Source organism: Homo sapiens, chromosome 11, assembly GCF_000001405.40.
Source record: "Homo sapiens chromosome 11, GRCh38.p14 Primary Assembly".
NCBI classification, from domain to species: Eukaryota; Metazoa; Chordata; class Mammalia; order Primates; family Hominidae; genus Homo; species Homo sapiens.
This window is the reverse complement of record NC_000011.10, coordinates 47,417,071-47,432,864: the sequence shown is the minus strand read 5'-3', so window position 1 is coordinate 47,432,864 and position 15,794 is coordinate 47,417,071. Positions and strand designations below refer to the sequence as shown.

At 52.6% G+C, this 15,794-nt stretch overlaps 1 protein-coding gene across 1 annotated transcript, besides 3 other annotated features; it reads left to right on the top strand.

The window, feature by feature from the left end:
- Positions 6,188-6,317: a silencer, noted in NCBI's record as "silent region_3329". NCBI's record gives its function as "represses an Ori minimal core promoter by ATAC-STARR-seq in GM12878 lymphoblastoid cells {active_cell/tissue: GM12878}" and the evidence as "EXISTENCE:reporter gene assay evidence [ECO:0000049][PMID:35858748]".
- Positions 6,418-6,617: an enhancer, noted in NCBI's record as "active region_4699". NCBI's record gives its function as "activates an Ori minimal core promoter by ATAC-STARR-seq in GM12878 lymphoblastoid cells {active_cell/tissue: GM12878}" and the evidence as "EXISTENCE:reporter gene assay evidence [ECO:0000049][PMID:35858748]".
- PSMC3 (proteasome 26S subunit, ATPase 3) lies at positions 6,426-14,090 on the top strand. Its single transcript, NM_002804.5, has 12 exons — positions 6,426-6,660; positions 6,915-6,998; positions 7,619-7,744; positions 8,154-8,258; positions 8,374-8,436; positions 8,682-8,819; positions 9,892-10,035; positions 10,143-10,291; positions 12,138-12,234; positions 12,456-12,601; positions 13,668-13,749; positions 13,920-14,090. The coding sequence occupies exons 1-12, from the start codon at positions 6,586-6,588 to the stop codon at positions 14,028-14,030; spliced, it is 1,320 nt and encodes a 439-aa protein (NP_002795.2). The 5' UTR covers positions 6,426-6,585; the 3' UTR covers positions 14,031-14,090.
- Positions 6,588-6,799: a silencer, noted in NCBI's record as "fragment chr11:47447617-47447828 (GRCh37/hg19 assembly coordinates)". NCBI's record gives its function as "represses an EF-1alpha promoter that drives an FKBP-Casp9 reporter gene in an ReSE screen in phorbol 12-myristate 13-acetate-treated (for megakaryocytic differentiation) K562 erythroleukemia cells {active_cell/tissue: K562(+PMA)}" and the evidence as "EXISTENCE:reporter gene assay evidence [ECO:0000049][PMID:32094911]".

The following is a 15,794-nucleotide window of genomic DNA, read 5'->3' as shown; positions in this document are numbered from 1 at the left end:
ACAGGGTTTCGCCATGTTGGCCAGGCTGGTCTATGAACTCCTGACCTCAGGTGATCCACCCGCCTCGGCCTCCCAAAGTGCTGGGATTACAGGCGTGAGCCACCGCACCTGGCCAACGATACTGGATTTTTTTTTTAAAGGCTATAAGGGATGTTTAGGGAATAATTTAAGACATTTTTATATAGACTATATATTGGATATTATTGCATCAATATTAAATTCCCTGGGTATGACTATATATATAGATAGATAGATTTTTTTTTTTTTTTTTTTTTTTTGGAGACAGAGTCTCCCTCTGTCACCTAGGCTGGAGTGCAGTGGCGCAATCTTGACTCACTGCTACCTCCACCTCCCAGGCTCAAGTGATTCTCCTGCCTCAGCCTCCTGAGTAGCTGGGATTACAGGCATGCACCACCATGCCCAGCTAATTTTTGTATTTTTAGTAGAGACAGGGTTTCTCCATGTTGGCCAGACTGGTCTCGGATACCAACCTCAAGTGATCCGCCTGCTTTGGCCTCCCAAAATTCTGGGACTACAGGCGTGAGCCACCACCCCCAGCTGACAAGGTATTATACTACCAATGTATCATAGCTATGTATGAAAATGTCTGTTTTTAGGAGACACGGGCTGAAGTATTTACAGGTGAAGTGTCATGAAGTCTGGAAGTTATTTTGATTTTTTTTTTTATGACGGAGTCTTGCTGTGTTGCCCAGGCTGGAGTGCAGTGGCCTGATCTCAGCTCACTGCATCCTCTGCCTCCCAGGTTCAAGTGATTATCTTGCCTCAGCCTCCCAAGTAACTGGAACTATAGGCACGCGCCACTGATTTTTGTATTTTTAGTAGAGACGAGGTTTTACCATGTTGGCCAGGCTGGTCTCAAATTTCTGACCTCAAGTGATCTGTTCACCTTGGCCTCCCAAAGTGCTGAGATTACAGGCATGAGCCACTGTGCCCGGACAGAAATGACGTTCTCTGTCATCCATGCCAGAGTGTGGTGGCATGATCATAGCTCACCGCGGCCTTGACCTCCTGGGCTCAGGTGTTCCTCCTGCCTCCACCTCCTGAGTAGCTGGGACTACAGGCATGTGCCACCGCACCTGGCTAATTTTTTAAAATTATTTTTAGAGATGGGCTCTCCCTACATTGCCCAGGCTGGTCTCAAACCCCTGGGCTCAAGAGATTCTCCTATCTTGGCCTCCCAGACTGCTGGGATTATAGCCATGAGCTACCTCACCCAGCCTGTAGCTTACTTTGAAATGGTTTGGGAATAAATGTGTGTGTGTACACACACAGAGGAAGAGAGAGCAAAGTCAAATGTGGCAAAATGTTATCAATTGGCAAATCTAGACGAAAGGTACACAGGTGTTCATTGTCTATTCTTTAAACTTTGTTGTATGTTCAACATTTTTCAAAATAAAGGGTTTTTCAAAATAGTAGATTTTAGGAAGCATTGTCCAGAGAAACAGAACCAATAGGATCTTTTTGCTTGTACTTTTGTTTTTTGTGTTTTTTTGTTTGTTTGTTTTGAGATGGAGTCTTGGTCTAGTCGCACAGGCTGGAGTGCAATAGTGCGATCTCAGCTCATTGCAACCTCCACCTCCCAGGTTCAAGCAATTCCCCTGCCTCAGCGTCCTGAGTATCTGGGATTACAGATGCCCACCACCAACGCCCGGCTAATTTTTTTTGTATTTTTAGTAGAGACGGGGTTACTCTTGGTCAGCCTGGTCTCGAATTCCTGACCTCAGGTGATCTACCGGCCTCGGCCTCCCAAAGTGCTGGGATTACAGGCGTGAGCCACCGCGCCTGGCTGCTTGTACTTTTAATGGCAAAAACTGCAATTACTTCTGCACCAACCTGCTATATAAAGAGATGTAGTATAAGGACTTGGCTCATGTGATTATGGAGTCTGGCAAGTCCCTAGATCTGCAGGGTGAGTTCTGGAGACCGAGGAGACTTGATGGTTTTGTTCCAGCCTGATTCAGAAGGTCTGAGAACCAGGAGAGCCGATGGGGTAGTTCTCCTCTGAAGGCTGTCAGGCTCAAGCCCTGTGAAGAATAATGTTTCAGTTCAACTCCAAAGGCAGAAAAGACCTTTATGCCTGTCAGAAGGGAATCTGGCAGGAAGAACTCCCTCGGAGTCAGCCTTTCTGTTCAACGCCTGCAACTGACAGGATGAGGCCCGCCCACATTAGAGAGGGCAACCTGCTTTCCTCAGTCTCCTGATTTAAATGTCAATCTTGTCTAAAAACAGCCTGACAAAAAGACCCAGAATAATGTTGAACCAAACACCTGGGCATCCCATGGCCCAGTCAAAATTAATCATCACAGGAGGGTTAGGGTAGAATCCAGGAGACCAGTGGAAAGGTCCCCATAATAATCTAGGGGTAGCGGTGGCTCATGCCTATAATCCCAGCACTTTGGGAGATGGAGGCGGGCAGACCGCTTGAGGTCAGGAGTTCGAGACCAGCCTGGCCAACATGGTGAAACCCCATCTCTACTAAAAATATAAAAATTAGCCAGGCATGGTGGTGTACACCTGTAATCTCAGCTACTTGGGAGGCTGAGGGAAGAGAATTGCTTGAACCTCGGAGGCAGAGGTTGCAGTGAGCCAAGATAGTACCACCACACTCCAGCCTGGGCAACAGAGCAAGACTCCATCTCAAATGCAACAGCAATGCCAAATAATAATAATAAGCTAGGTCTGAGATGATGGTGGCTTGAACCAGGGTGATAGGCAATGGAGGGAGTGAGAAATGGTCCTATTCAAGGGGGTTAGGAGGAGTTATATCTTTCGTTTTGGAAATTTTCAAATAGATACAAAAGGAGAGAAACCAATGATTTCCATCTCAGCCTTAACTATGCATTTCAGCACATGGACAATCTTGTTTACCCCCAAAAGCCCCACCAAGCTCCACACCCTCCGCTTGATTGTTTTGATTCAGATCTTACTATTTCTGAATTCTGGATATTTGTTTAAGGTAAAGTAATCCCAGCACTTTGGGAGGCCAAGACGGGTGGATCACCTGAGGTTAGGAGTTCAAGACCAGCCTGACCAACATGGAGAAACCCCACCTCTACTAAAAATACAAAATTAGCCAGGCATGGTGGTGCATGCCTGTAATCCCAGCTACTCGGGAGGCTGAGGCAGGAGAATTGCTTGAACCCAGGAGGTGGAGGTTGCAGTGAGCCCAGATCGTGCCACTGCACTCCAGCCTGGACAACAAGAGTGAAACTCTGTCTCAGAAAAAAAAAACCAAAAACACAAAAATTAGCTGGGTGTGGTGGTGTGCATCTGTAGTCCCAGCTACTCAGGAGGCTGAGGTGGGAGAATCACCACTGCACTCCAGCCTGGGTGACAGACTGAGACTCTGTCTCAAAACAAACAAACAAAAACAAAGAATGACTCCAGGGTTTTGGCCTGGTGGCTCTCACCCTAGCTTGATGCCAAGACAGAAACATCTGTTCTAGGCCTGGCCTAGACCTCTTCTCTCTAGAGGCCCAGATGGACCAGAGGTCCCTAATTCAGCCAACCTCTTTCTCCCTGAAGACATGCTCTGCTCCAGGTTCCCAGCTCCTTGCTGGGACTGACCTCCTGGTACTTCCTTGACCTTTTTGAGCAGAGTGAACCTTCATAAACTATTCTCCTTTTTCTCCCATCTCCCCAAGACATTCCTACTCCTGGGCTCCCAAGATAATCAATCCCTGTCATTCTAGCCAGGATTAAAGAAGGAGATGTTCAGGGCCGGGTGCAGTGGCTCACGCCTCTAATCCCAGCACTTTGGGAGGTGGAGGCGAGAGGATCATGAGGCGGTCGAGACCATCCTGGCCAACATGGTGACACCCCGTCTCTACTAAAATACAAAAATTAGCTGGGCTTGGTGGTGGGTGTCTGTAATCCCAGCTACTCAGGAGGCTGAGACAGGAGAATTGCTTGAACACAGGAGGCGGAGGTTGCAGTGAGCCAAGATCGCACCACTGAACTCAAGCCTGGGCGACAGAGCAAGACTTCGTCTCAAAAAAAAAAAAAAAAAAAAAAAAAGCAGGCCAAGGGCTTATACTTCAAAGGTGAAGGATAAATGAGGACCTGGATCATATATCTAGAGGGATGAGGTATCAGGGGTGGGGGGATTCCGTTAAACTGACTAGCAGGATTTTTGTGAAAACAGGGTTAGACAGGTTGATGACAGGGATGAAGGAACAGCCCACAAGGCCTAGTCAAAAAAAGATGGCTCAGGCCGGGCGCGGTGGCTCATGCCTGTAGTCCCAGCACTTTGGGAGGCCGAGGCGGGCGGATCACGAGGTCAGGAGATCGAGGCCATCCCGGCTAAAACGGTGAAACCCCGTCTCTACTAAAAATACAAAAAATTAGCCGGGCGTAGTGGCGGGCGCCTGTAGTCCCAGCTACTTGGGAGGCTGAGGCAGGAGAATGGCGTGAACCCGGGAGGCGGAGCTTGCAGTGAGCCGAGATCCCGCCACTGCACTCCAGCCTGGGCGACAGAGCGAAACTCCGTCTCAAAAAAAAAAAAAAAAAAAAAAAGATGGCTCAGAAGAGCCTACCTAAAAGTTGGTTAAGGGGAGAATGTCTGCATCCCTCCTAGGCCCAGGCTGGAGGCTTTCTAAACATATTCGTATTTGTCAGGATCTCCAAAAGTAGGCCCCAGAATGGGACCCAACTGACCCAGGCATAGTGGGACCAGCACAGATTGGACAGTCTTTCCCCTCTGGGCTTCTTGGCTCCTATCGGGCAACTCAAAGTGAGAATTTGGGGTCAGCAGTCCTAGTGCTGCCAGTGACTCACTGAATAACCTCCAGCAAGGCACTTAACCTCTCTGAGCCTCCCTATGCTTATTTAAATTTGAGAATGGTAATTCAGTCTGTCCACAAGGCAGGCTTGTTGAGAGAATGGAATAAAGCACTGTTACTTGAGGAGACGCTTTGTCAGCCTGAGTGAGCAGCTGTACATGTTGTTATTTAAAGAAAAAAATTCTGCTTTCAACCGTGTTCCAAAAAAAACTACTGCAAAGGCTAGGTGTAGTGGTTCATGCCTATAGTACCAACACTTTAGGAGGCTGAGGCAGGAAGATCACTTACGCCCAGGAGTTTGAGACCAGCCTGGTCAACATGGTGAAACCTTGTCTCTACTAAAAATACAAAAATTAGTTGGGCGTGGTGGTGGGTGCCTGTAATCCCAGCTACTTGAGAGGCTGAGGCAGGAGAATCCATTGAACCCGGGAGGCGGAGGTTGCGGTAGGGAGAGACCGCGCCACTGCATTCCAGCCTGGGCGACAGAGCGAGACTCCGTCTCAAAAAACAAAAAACAAACAAGCAAACAAAAAAAAGGCAACGATTGCACAGATTTTCATCAGGTTAACAGAGTGTTTGTGATGGTTTGACTTGAAATATAAGCTATGTTGCTTACATGAAGTTCCCTTTAAAGGGGCTCCAGGGCTCACCTCAAAGGATAAGGAGAGATCATTTAAAATAGCCGACAAGGGTACAACGAATGAGTCTCCCATGATCCGGAGACCCGCTCTGCTCACTGAGATTACTAACCATGGTCAGAGAAAACAAACAATTGCAGATACGAGACATAATTTTTTTTGAGACGGAGTCTCGCTCTGTCGCCCAGGCTGGAGTGCAGTGGCGCGATCACGGCTCACTGCAAGCTCCGCCTCCGAGGTTCATGCCATTCTCCTGGCTCAGCCCGGAGTAGCTGGGACTACGGGCGCCCACCACCACGCCCGGCTAATTTTTTGTATATTTAGTAGAGACGGGGTTTCACCGTGTTAGCCAGGATGGTCTCGATCTCCTGACCTCGTGATCCGCCCGCCTCGGCCTCCCAAAGTGCTGGGATTACAGGCGTGAGCCACCGCGCCCGGCCCGAGTCATAATGTTTTTAATCGTAGAGGCTGATGGTCAATTGAGTTCTTCCCACGTGGACAATTCCGTGAAGCCTGCTCTGACGTTAGGAGCAGCAGCGATTTCTCTTTAAAGCTGGTTAATGATTCCCTCCCGTAACTCCGGGTGGCCAGCTTGTACTTAAATAATTGTAAAAATGCGGACTGAGGTGGCATGCCTTTTTGGCCCTTTGCACACGGCTGGCCTATGTCGTTTATTAATTGGGAGGCAGTGTCATTGTGTAAATCCCCTTATTCCTAGCGGGGTCACGGTCTGAGTTTGAACGCGCCCCTCCGCAAGCATCTGTCACGGGCCAGATTAAAGACTACATTTCCCAAAGGCCCTCGCGGATCCCACCCTTCTCCCTCCCTTTCCGGTTTTACACATAGGCCCCGCCCCCAACGCGCGTGTCGGCCAATAGCGGCCCCACCTCTCGCGCCCGGCAAAAATAGGACGCGGGCGGGAACGTTTCGGGGTCCGCGGGGGCGGGGCCTGTGGCCAGGGGTTGGTCTTTGGAATCGGAGAGGCAGATTCGCTGCTCCGCAGCACGGCCGGAGCTGGTCGGGTCAAGAGTCGGGATTTGTGGGGAGAGGTTTTCCACTGGTCAAGAGAAGGCTTTAAGAAAGACGGTATTAATCTCCCGTTGCGGCTCCCGCCTGGTCCCATCTTCTGCCCGCTCCTCCAGGAAATGAATCTGCTGCCGAATATTGAGAGTCCAGTGACTCGGCAGGAGAAGATGGCGACCGTGTGGGATGAGGCCGAGGTGGGCACCGGGCGAGCTGGCGGTCCGGGAACCGGGGCCCGCAGGGAGACGCCATTGACAAGAGGGAAGGAGGTGGCTGGGGGTCAAGGTCTGGCCCGATCCCGGGGACGGGGTTGTTTGGGATGTGGGCAGGGGTCCTGACTCCATCCTGGTTTTATGGGCGTGGAAACTGAGGCTGTGAGTGGGTTCGGAGAACGAGGGATGCTTGTCCTGAGTAAAAGTAAATATATAAATAAACAAATAATTTTTTACAGCAAGATGGAATTGGGGAGGAGGTGCTCAAGATGTCCACGGAGGAGATCATCCAGCGCACACGGCTGCTGGACAGTGAGATCAAGGTGGGCGCACAGCTCCTGTGCGGGCGATGGAGCCCCCACAGGACAGGCCCCGGCGATCCGAGTCGCCTCTCGTACTTCCTAATCGGGCACCCTGGGGGAGACATGGGGCTCGGGCTTCCCCCTCATATCAGGAAGAGAGGAAAGAAAACTAAGCCTTAAAAGGGACAAGAAGACAGGTAGGGGGTGGTGGGAGGCCTGGGCTGAGATGAGAAGTTATCAGATTGCCTTTCCCAGTGAGAACTGGGAATAATCCTCTCAAGAATCCTTCTTTTAGTAAAATGCCTATTTTACAGATGAGGAGACAGGCCCAGAGAGGTTTGTACTGCGATAAAGCACCCAGTTCTTACTATGAGGCAGAACCTAAAACCTATGTTTGCCTCTCTCGGAGGCCTGCTTTTATTCCAATACTACCACTATTTCACCAGGAGGTTTCCAAACTGGCCTCCTCTTTTGACTTCTGCAGGATGTGGACACAGTCAGACTCTGCCTTCAGAGAGCCTCAGAGCTGGATGAATGGATGCGGGAGGGTCCCCTGGGCACCCTGGACCTCACTAGTTACAGGGCTCTAGCATAAGCTGTGCCAGGGTTTATATTTGCTTCTCCTCCCCTCCTGATCTCAGATCATGAAGAGTGAAGTGTTGAGAGTCACCCATGAGCTCCAAGCCATGAAGGACAAGATAAAAGAGAACAGTGAGAAAATCAAAGTGAACAAGACCCTGCCGTACCTTGTCTCCAACGTCATCGAGGTGTGTGTGTATGTGGAGGGGAAGAGAGGGAGTCAGCAGGGAATGGGGACAGCCTGGGGTGGGGCCACTAGGGAAAGAGTGGGTGGAGGTATTGAGGCCAAACTGCATGTCAGAGCTACACCTCCTGGGGCACTTTCATGGGGAAGACGGGGCCTGCAAAGTCCTGGGAGGTCTCACGTGTCTCCTTTTCTGTTGGTTATGTCTCCTCCGGGGTAGATGAGCCCTGTGCAGAGGAGCAGCACCTACACAGAGATCAATCCCTGGGCTTAGCAGGGGCACCCACGTTTGGTGGGCTCAGGGCTATTGGAGGAGGGAGGTAAGGATGGCCAGCCCTGCAGGTATTAGGAACTGTCTTAGGAAGCACTGGGCCTTGGGGAGTTCAAGGAGCTGAGTATTTTTTCCTTCCCAGCTCCTGGATGTTGATCCTAATGACCAAGAGGAGGATGGTGCCAATATTGACCTGGACTCCCAGAGGAAGGGCAAGTGTGCTGTGATCAAAACCTCTACACGACAGGTGAGCGTGGCTCAGCAATGAGAGACTGGAGGAGGGTGAGGAGCGGATGTGGGACAGGACTAGGGAGCCTTCCCTGAGGACACTAACTGAGACTGCCCCTGTAACTTGTCCACAGACGTACTTCCTTCCTGTGATTGGGTTGGTGGATGCTGAAAAGCTAAAGCCAGGAGACCTGGTGGTGAGTGGGGCCTGAGCCCAGGCAGTGCTTTTCTGGTGACTAGCTGAGCCCCTGTACCCGCCCCAGGTCACTGTTGGCTCTGAATCTTGGCAGAACAGCTCCGAGAGTCTGGGATTCTGTCTACTTGCTGTTTGATTCTTGTATTGCCCAGTCCTGTGTCTTTCCCTCTGCAGACACCTGTCACCCAGTCAGTTGGGTAGCCCTTGAGCTGGGCCAAATCTGAAGGCCCTGTGCTGTGTCCTTAGGGTGTGAACAAAGACTCCTATCTGATCCTGGAGACGCTGCCCACAGAGTATGACTCGCGGGTGAAGGCCATGGAGGTAGACGAGAGGCCCACGGAGCAATACAGTGACATTGGGGGTTTGGACAAGCAGATCCAGGAGGTGAGGGAGGCACGGCAGCTGCCAGCAGCCTTGTCAGCCTTTTAGTTTCTCCACGCCATTGATGCAGCTCATCTCCCTAATGTGTCTTTCATCCTCATAGCAACCTAGGGAGGAAGGGAGGGGTGCCATGTGACAGGTGAGGAGACTGAAGCCCAGAGAGTTTAAATGCCTTGCCCAGGATCACAGAGAGACCAGAGCCAGGACTGGAGCCCAGGCTCCTGGTTCTTGGCCCAGTGTCCTTTTTTTTTTTTTTTCCGAGATGGAGTTTTGCTTTTACTGCCCATGCTGGAGTGCAATGGCACGATCTCGGCTCACCGCAACCTCTGCCTCCCGGGTTCAAGCAATTCTGCCTCAGCCTCTCGAGTAGCTGGGATTACAGGCATGCGACACCAAGCCTGGCTAATTTTAGCGGAGTATTTTTAGTAGAGACGGGGTTTCTCCATGTTGGTCAGGCTGGTCTCGAACTCCCAACCTCAGGTGATCCGCGTGCCTTGGCCTCCCAAAGTGCTGGGATTACAGGCATGAGCCACTGCTCCCAGCCCCTGGCCCGGTGTCTTTTCTGCCATATACTCCCGTTCCTGGAGAGTCCATAGCCAGCCTGGGTGGGGATGAGTGTTCTGTGTCCTCTTTTTTTTTTTTTTGTGACGGAGTCTTGCTCTGCCGCTCAGGCTGGCTGGTGTGCAGTGGCGTGATCTTGGCTCACTACGAGCTCCGCGTCCCGGGTTCATGCCATTCTCCTGCCTCAGCCTCCTGAGTAGCTGGGACTACAGGCACCCGACCACCCCGCCCGGCTAATGTTTTTGTATTTTTAGTAGAGACGGAGTTTCACCGTGTTAGCCAGGATGGTCTCGATCTCCTGACCTTGTGATCCGCCCGCCTCAGCCTCCCAAAGTGCTAGGATTACAGGCGTGAGCCACCGCGCCCAGCCTTGTGTCCTCTTGATATGGGGAAAGAAATGGGCGTGTCCCTGAGTTAGAGTAGGAGGGATGCAGATTGGGGTTGGAGCCATGAAGGGTTGGGCTGTAGAAGCCCTCAGGGCTTCATCTCCTCACCCAGGACTTCCTCCTGGCAGCTGGTGGAGGCCATTGTCTTGCCAATGAACCACAAGGAGAAGTTTGAGAACTTGGGGATCCAACCTCCAAAAGGGGTGCTGATGTATGGGCCCCCAGGGACGGGGAAGACCCTCCTGGCCCGGGCCTGTGCCGCACAGACTAAGGTGAGTACTTTGGGAGGGATGCGGGGGAAGTGGGCAGGAGCAGAAACTCTACCAGATGGGCTCAAAGGGTCTGCCTTTGACCTGACTCTACCACCTTTTCCTGCCAGGCCACCTTCCTAAAGCTGGCTGGCCCCCAGCTGGTGCAGATGTTCATTGGAGATGGTGCCAAGCTAGTCCGGGATGCCTTTGCCCTGGCCAAGGAGAAAGCGCCCTCTATCATCTTCATTGATGAGTTGGATGCCATCGGCACCAAGCGGTAAGGGAGGGCCAAGGGTCCCTAGCGATCTCTGTGGCGGTAAGGGGAAGCGGGTTGACTCTCAGTTGTGCTAAATTGTGGTTCCTTCCCACCCTGTATCCCCTCCTGCCCCTGGATGGTGGCTCCTCAACTCTTGAGATTCCAATTCCTAACTCCTGATCAATAGCCTCCCTGTTTCCCCAGCCATTCATTCCCACAGCTGCCAGCATGTTCCTTTCAAAACAGGAATCTGGGCCGGGCACGGTGGCTCACGCCTGTAATCCCAGCACTTTGGGAGGCCGAGGCAGGCGGATCACGAGGTCAGGAGATCGAGACCATCCTGGCTAACATGGTGAAACCCTGTCTCTACTAAAAATACAAAAAATTAGCTGGGCGTGGTAGCAGGCGCCTGTAGTCCCAGATGCCTGGGAGGCTGAGGCACAAGAATCACTTGAACCTGGGAGGCAGAGATTGGAGTGAGCCAAGATTGCGCCACTGCACTCCAGCCTGGTGAAAGAGTGAGACTCTGTCTCAAAAAAAAAAAAAGAAAACAAAACAAAAAAAGCCAAAGCAGGAATCTGGCCACCTCGCTCACATGAACCCACAGTGGTCCCTGACATAAACCAATCCTGTTAAAAACCCTGGCTGGGTGCAGTGGCTCACTCCTGTATTCCCTACACTTTGGAAGGCTGAGGTGGGCAGATCACTTGAGGTCAGGAATTCGAGACCAGCCTGGCCAACATGGTGAAACACATCTCTACTAAAAATAGAAAAATTAGCCGGGTGTGGTGGTGTGCGCCTGTAATTCCAGCTACTTGGGAGGCTGAGGCAGGAGAATCACTTGAACTTGGGAGGCGGAGGTTGCAGTGGGCTGAGATTGTGCCACTGTGCTCCGGCCTGGATGACAGAGTGAGCCTCTGTTTCAAAAAAAAAAAAAAAATCAAACTTTCCTGGGCCTCCCTGTTGCTCCCTGGGATAAATGCTGGAATTACAAGGCTCAACGTGTGCTGCCTTTTTGCGCCTTCACCCTCATCTCATGCCTGTCCCCAGCCTCCCCTGCTCTGGACTCCTGCCACGGTGCTTCCTGCGTTTCAGGCCCGCCGTGGCTCTTACCCTGTTCTCCACTGGTTGGTTGCCTAGCTGGTGTGCTTTCAACCTTCAGATCTCAGCCTCAGGGATACTTCCCGGGGGATGCCTGCCTGGGCTCTCCTGTACAGCACCGTCCAAGGCTGGGCCAGATACCTGTGTTTTTAAGCGTTAGCTCAGTTTGCAAGTGTACATTCATCACAGTTAACAGCCCAAGCAGTGGTTGGTTTTGCTTTTTTTTTTTTTTTTTTTTTTTTTTGAGATGGAGTCTCGCTCTGTCGTCCAGGCTGGAGTGCAGTGGCGTGATCTCGGCTCACTGCAACCTCCACCTCCCGGGTTCAAGTAATTCTGCCTCAGTGTCCCGAGTAGCTGAGATTACAGGTGGCTGCCACCACGCCTGGCTAATTTTTGTATTTTTAGTAGAGATGGGGTTTCACCATCTCACCTGGTTGGCCAGGCTGGTCTCGAACTCCTGACCTCAGGTGATAGGCCCACCTTGGCCTCCCAAAGTGCTGGGATTACAGGCATGAGCCACCACACCCAGCCTTGCTCACTGTTTTATCCTCAGCCCAGCACCTGATTCTAGGAGTCTCTTCAGTCTCTGAATGTGGTCAACAATTAATGACACTTTTTATGTGCCAGTCCCTGGGCTGGGGGCCCCAAGTTGAGTGAGCCATTTCCCTGCCCTGGACGGGTTAGGTTAGGCTTCCAGGGGGTAGAGGAGGGGAGGGCTCTGCCTAAGCTGTGCCCTCACCAGCATCTCGGGCTTCCTGTGCCCTAGCTTTGACAGTGAGAAGGCTGGGGACCGGGAGGTGCAGAGGACAATGCTGGAGCTTCTGAACCAGCTGGATGGCTTCCAGCCCAACACCCAAGTTAAGGTGAGTATTAGCACTCCCAGGCAAAGATGATGAGGCTCAGAGGTCAGGAGCTGTCAGGCCCCCAGCTAGCCAGTGGTGGAGCTGGAATGAGAATTGGGATCTGTCTTTAACATCCCATGTGTCTCACCTGCACTCTGGGGGCTGCCTCTCTGCCTTTTTTGACCGTGTCTGCCCATCTGTGAACACCTTGCTCCTTTCAAGTTGTGGCTTCTCTTCCTCAGGTAATTGCAGCCACAAACAGGGTGGACATCCTGGACCCCGCCCTCCTCCGCTCGGGCCGCCTTGACCGCAAGATAGAGTTCCCGATGCCCAATGAGGAGGCCCGGGCCAGAATCATGCAGATCCACTCCCGAAAGATGAATGTCAGGTGAGCAGGAGCACGGGCAGGGCACAGAGACCTGAACAGGCGCAGGAGGATGTCTCTGCCATGCTTCTCTGTACTGATCTTCCCCAGCCTCCACGACCACCACCTCCCAGGCCCCAGGCACACACAGCACCGTTCCACACGCCAGCCTCCGTTTCTCCTCAGTTGTGTGATGTAGCGTCTTGCCAGGGCCCATGTCGTAATTCTGGGTGCTCTGCTCCTTAGACTCCACCCCTCATCTGAAGGCACAGAGGCTGGAGGCACTTAGTTTCCTGGCCTCACACCTCAGCCCATTAACACACGCCAGGAATGGCCGGGACCAGATGGACTTGAGTTCAGATATGTATGACTCTCAGCAGGTGGCATGCCCTCTCTCAGCCTTACTTTTTTTTTTTTTTTTAATTTTTGGAGACAGTGTCTCGCTCTGTCGCCCAGGCTGGAGTACAGTGGCGCGATCTCGGCTCACTGCAAGCTCCGCCTCCTGGGTTCACGCCATTCTCCTGCCTCAGCCTCCCGAGTAGCTGGGACTACAGGCGCCCGCCACCACGCCCGGCTAATTTTTTGTATTTTTAGTAGAGACGAGGTTTCACCTTGTTAGCCAGAATGGTCTTGATTTCCTGACCTTGTGATCCGCCCACCTTGGCCTCCCAAAGTGCTGGGATTATAGGTATGAGCCACCACGCCCGGCCTCAGCCTCACTTTTCTTATTTGGGACTTGGGGATGATAGCACTGATTTCACAGGGTCGTGGTAAGGATTAGATGTGACAGTGTCAAGCGCAGTGCTGGGCACAGGATGAGGACAGTCAGTCCCTGGAGTCCCAGATGCAGATTTCTAGAAGGCCAGAGCTCAAGAGACCCTAGAAATAACCTGTTATAACCTGCATTAACTTCCTCCCTTCATCCCCCACATCTTGTACTGAGAAGAAAACAAGGCGCATTGAGTAAGGGACTTGCCTCTGATCACAGGGCAACTTGACTTTGTTGCTTGACGGGGCCAGGGGAGGATATTTGGCCCCTCTGCCCATTCCGCATAAGCCACTGAGCCTGTGGTATCTGTCCTGTCCCCAGTCCTGACGTGAACTACGAGGAGCTGGCCCGCTGCACAGATGACTTCAATGGGGCCCAGTGCAAGGCTGTGTGTGTGGAGGCGGTGAGTGGTCAGCTGGGGTGGGTGCGTTGCTTTGTGCCTTCTTGCCCCCTCCCTGGACAGGATGGGGGCATTTGGCTGGTGGAGACGGCTGAGGGAAGAGGCCTGAGCCTCAGGGAGCCAGGGAAGGCATTCAGGCGTTCAGACCTAGACTCTGTTTGTCCCGGCTGTAGGGCATGATCGCACTGCGCAGGGGTGCCACGGAGCTCACCCACGAGGACTACATGGAAGGCATCCTGGAGGTGCAGGCCAAGAAGAAAGCCAACCTACAATACTACGCCTAGGGCACACAGGCCAGCCCCAGTCTCACGGCTGAAGTGCGCAATAAAAGATGGTTTAGGGTCCCTGCCGCTGCTTGTCTGCCTTCCCTGGGCTCTGGCTGGAGGAGTGGGGGCGTGTGTGGGAGGCACCTTCCCCAGGTGCTGACGCCTGGAAACCCGGAGACAGCCGTGGGCCCCATACCACTGGTCAGGATGAGGCTTTCTGGGGCTGTGTGTGGTGCTGCAGCTGCTGCCTGGGCCTTCAGGCCCCTCAGAGCCCTCTCTCCCCGAGCACCACTCTGCTCTGAGCTTTCAGAGGCTCATGGCCCTGCAGTTCCTGCACAGAGGACCTGGATAGAAGCCACCCTTTCACTTTCGGCATTTTGGTGTCTGGCACTAGTCCTTGCCTCCTGGTAAAGCCAGGCTTGGGTTTAGGCTTTCAGCATCCTCCCTTGTTTCCTGGCCCTTGGGTCCCCTTTTCTCCAGATACCCCCTTAGCTCTTTCTCTCCCTATCTTTGGCCAAAAACTGAGCCTGAACAGGATCCACTGGGAGCCCCTCTAGGACTGGTCTGTCACGCTGTGCTCCCCTCCCCCAATTCTGCTATCTCTTCACTCCAGCTGGCCCCTTGCCTTCCCTGGGTGGCCCTGCTTGGCTTCCCACTGACTCCCCAGCCCCTGCCTCAGGAGTCCAGCAGCACAACCCCTGAAGTGCTTCTGTTTCTGTCCCCTGCCCTGGACTTGGCCGCCCCAGTCCTCCATTCCTGTTCTCTCTTCTAACCGGACAGGGCATTTGCTCCTGACCATGACACCCAAGTTCCCCCACAGGGACCACACCCACCCTGCTTTGGGTTCCTCATCTCTAAAATGGGGCCCCCGGCCTCTTCCAGTGGGCTGTGATGCTTGCACGCACTGTCTGCCATCCAGCAGGGCTTGGCACCCCAGCTAGCAGCCCTGAGCACCTGCATAGGTGAGGGGGGCAGCCGGCTGGGACGGCCATGGCTCATTCCTTGGATCTGAGGCCAGGAGTCAATGGGTCCTTGAGACAGTTATCTTACGGGATGTGTTGCAGCTAGGTGAAGCAAATACTATGTTGTTTTAAAATGTTTTGCTGATAGAAATACTGACAGCCAAGCACTCCCAGCTAAGGACATCACTGGGGTTTCACACCCACCTCTCCCACGCTCCATGACACTGCCCAGACTGCAGATCCCAGCCAGTGGGCTATTGACGGTGGTCCTGGGAGGGAAGAGGTGGACTGGACACCCCCACCCCCATTCTCTTGACAGGACTGGGGAAGGGGCGCCCTGCGCCTGGTGTTCTTATACTCCACACATTCAGAAGGGAGGGTGTGTGGTTTTGAATAAGGGTCCCATATTCTTTTTTCTTCTTTTCTCTTTCTTTTTTATTTATTTATTTTTGAGATGGAGTCTTGCTCTGTCACCCGGGCTGGAGTGCAGTGGTGTGATCTCAGCTCACTACAGCCTCCGCCTCTGGGTTCAAGCAATTCTGCCTCAGCTTCCTGAGTAGGTGAGATTACAGGCACGTGCCACCGCGCCTGGCTAATTTTTGTATCTTTAGTAGAGACAGGGTTTCACCTTATTGGCCAGGCTGGTCTCGAACTGCTGACCTCGCGATCCCCCTACCTTGGCCTCCCAAAGTTCTGGCATTACAGGCGTGAGCCACCACATCCGGCCTTTCTTTTTTAAGCGAATGAGAGCTTAATTTCACTGAGGCCAAACCTAGAGATGACTTTGTGGCTGGAGCTCCCTTCCCTGATAACATTTTCA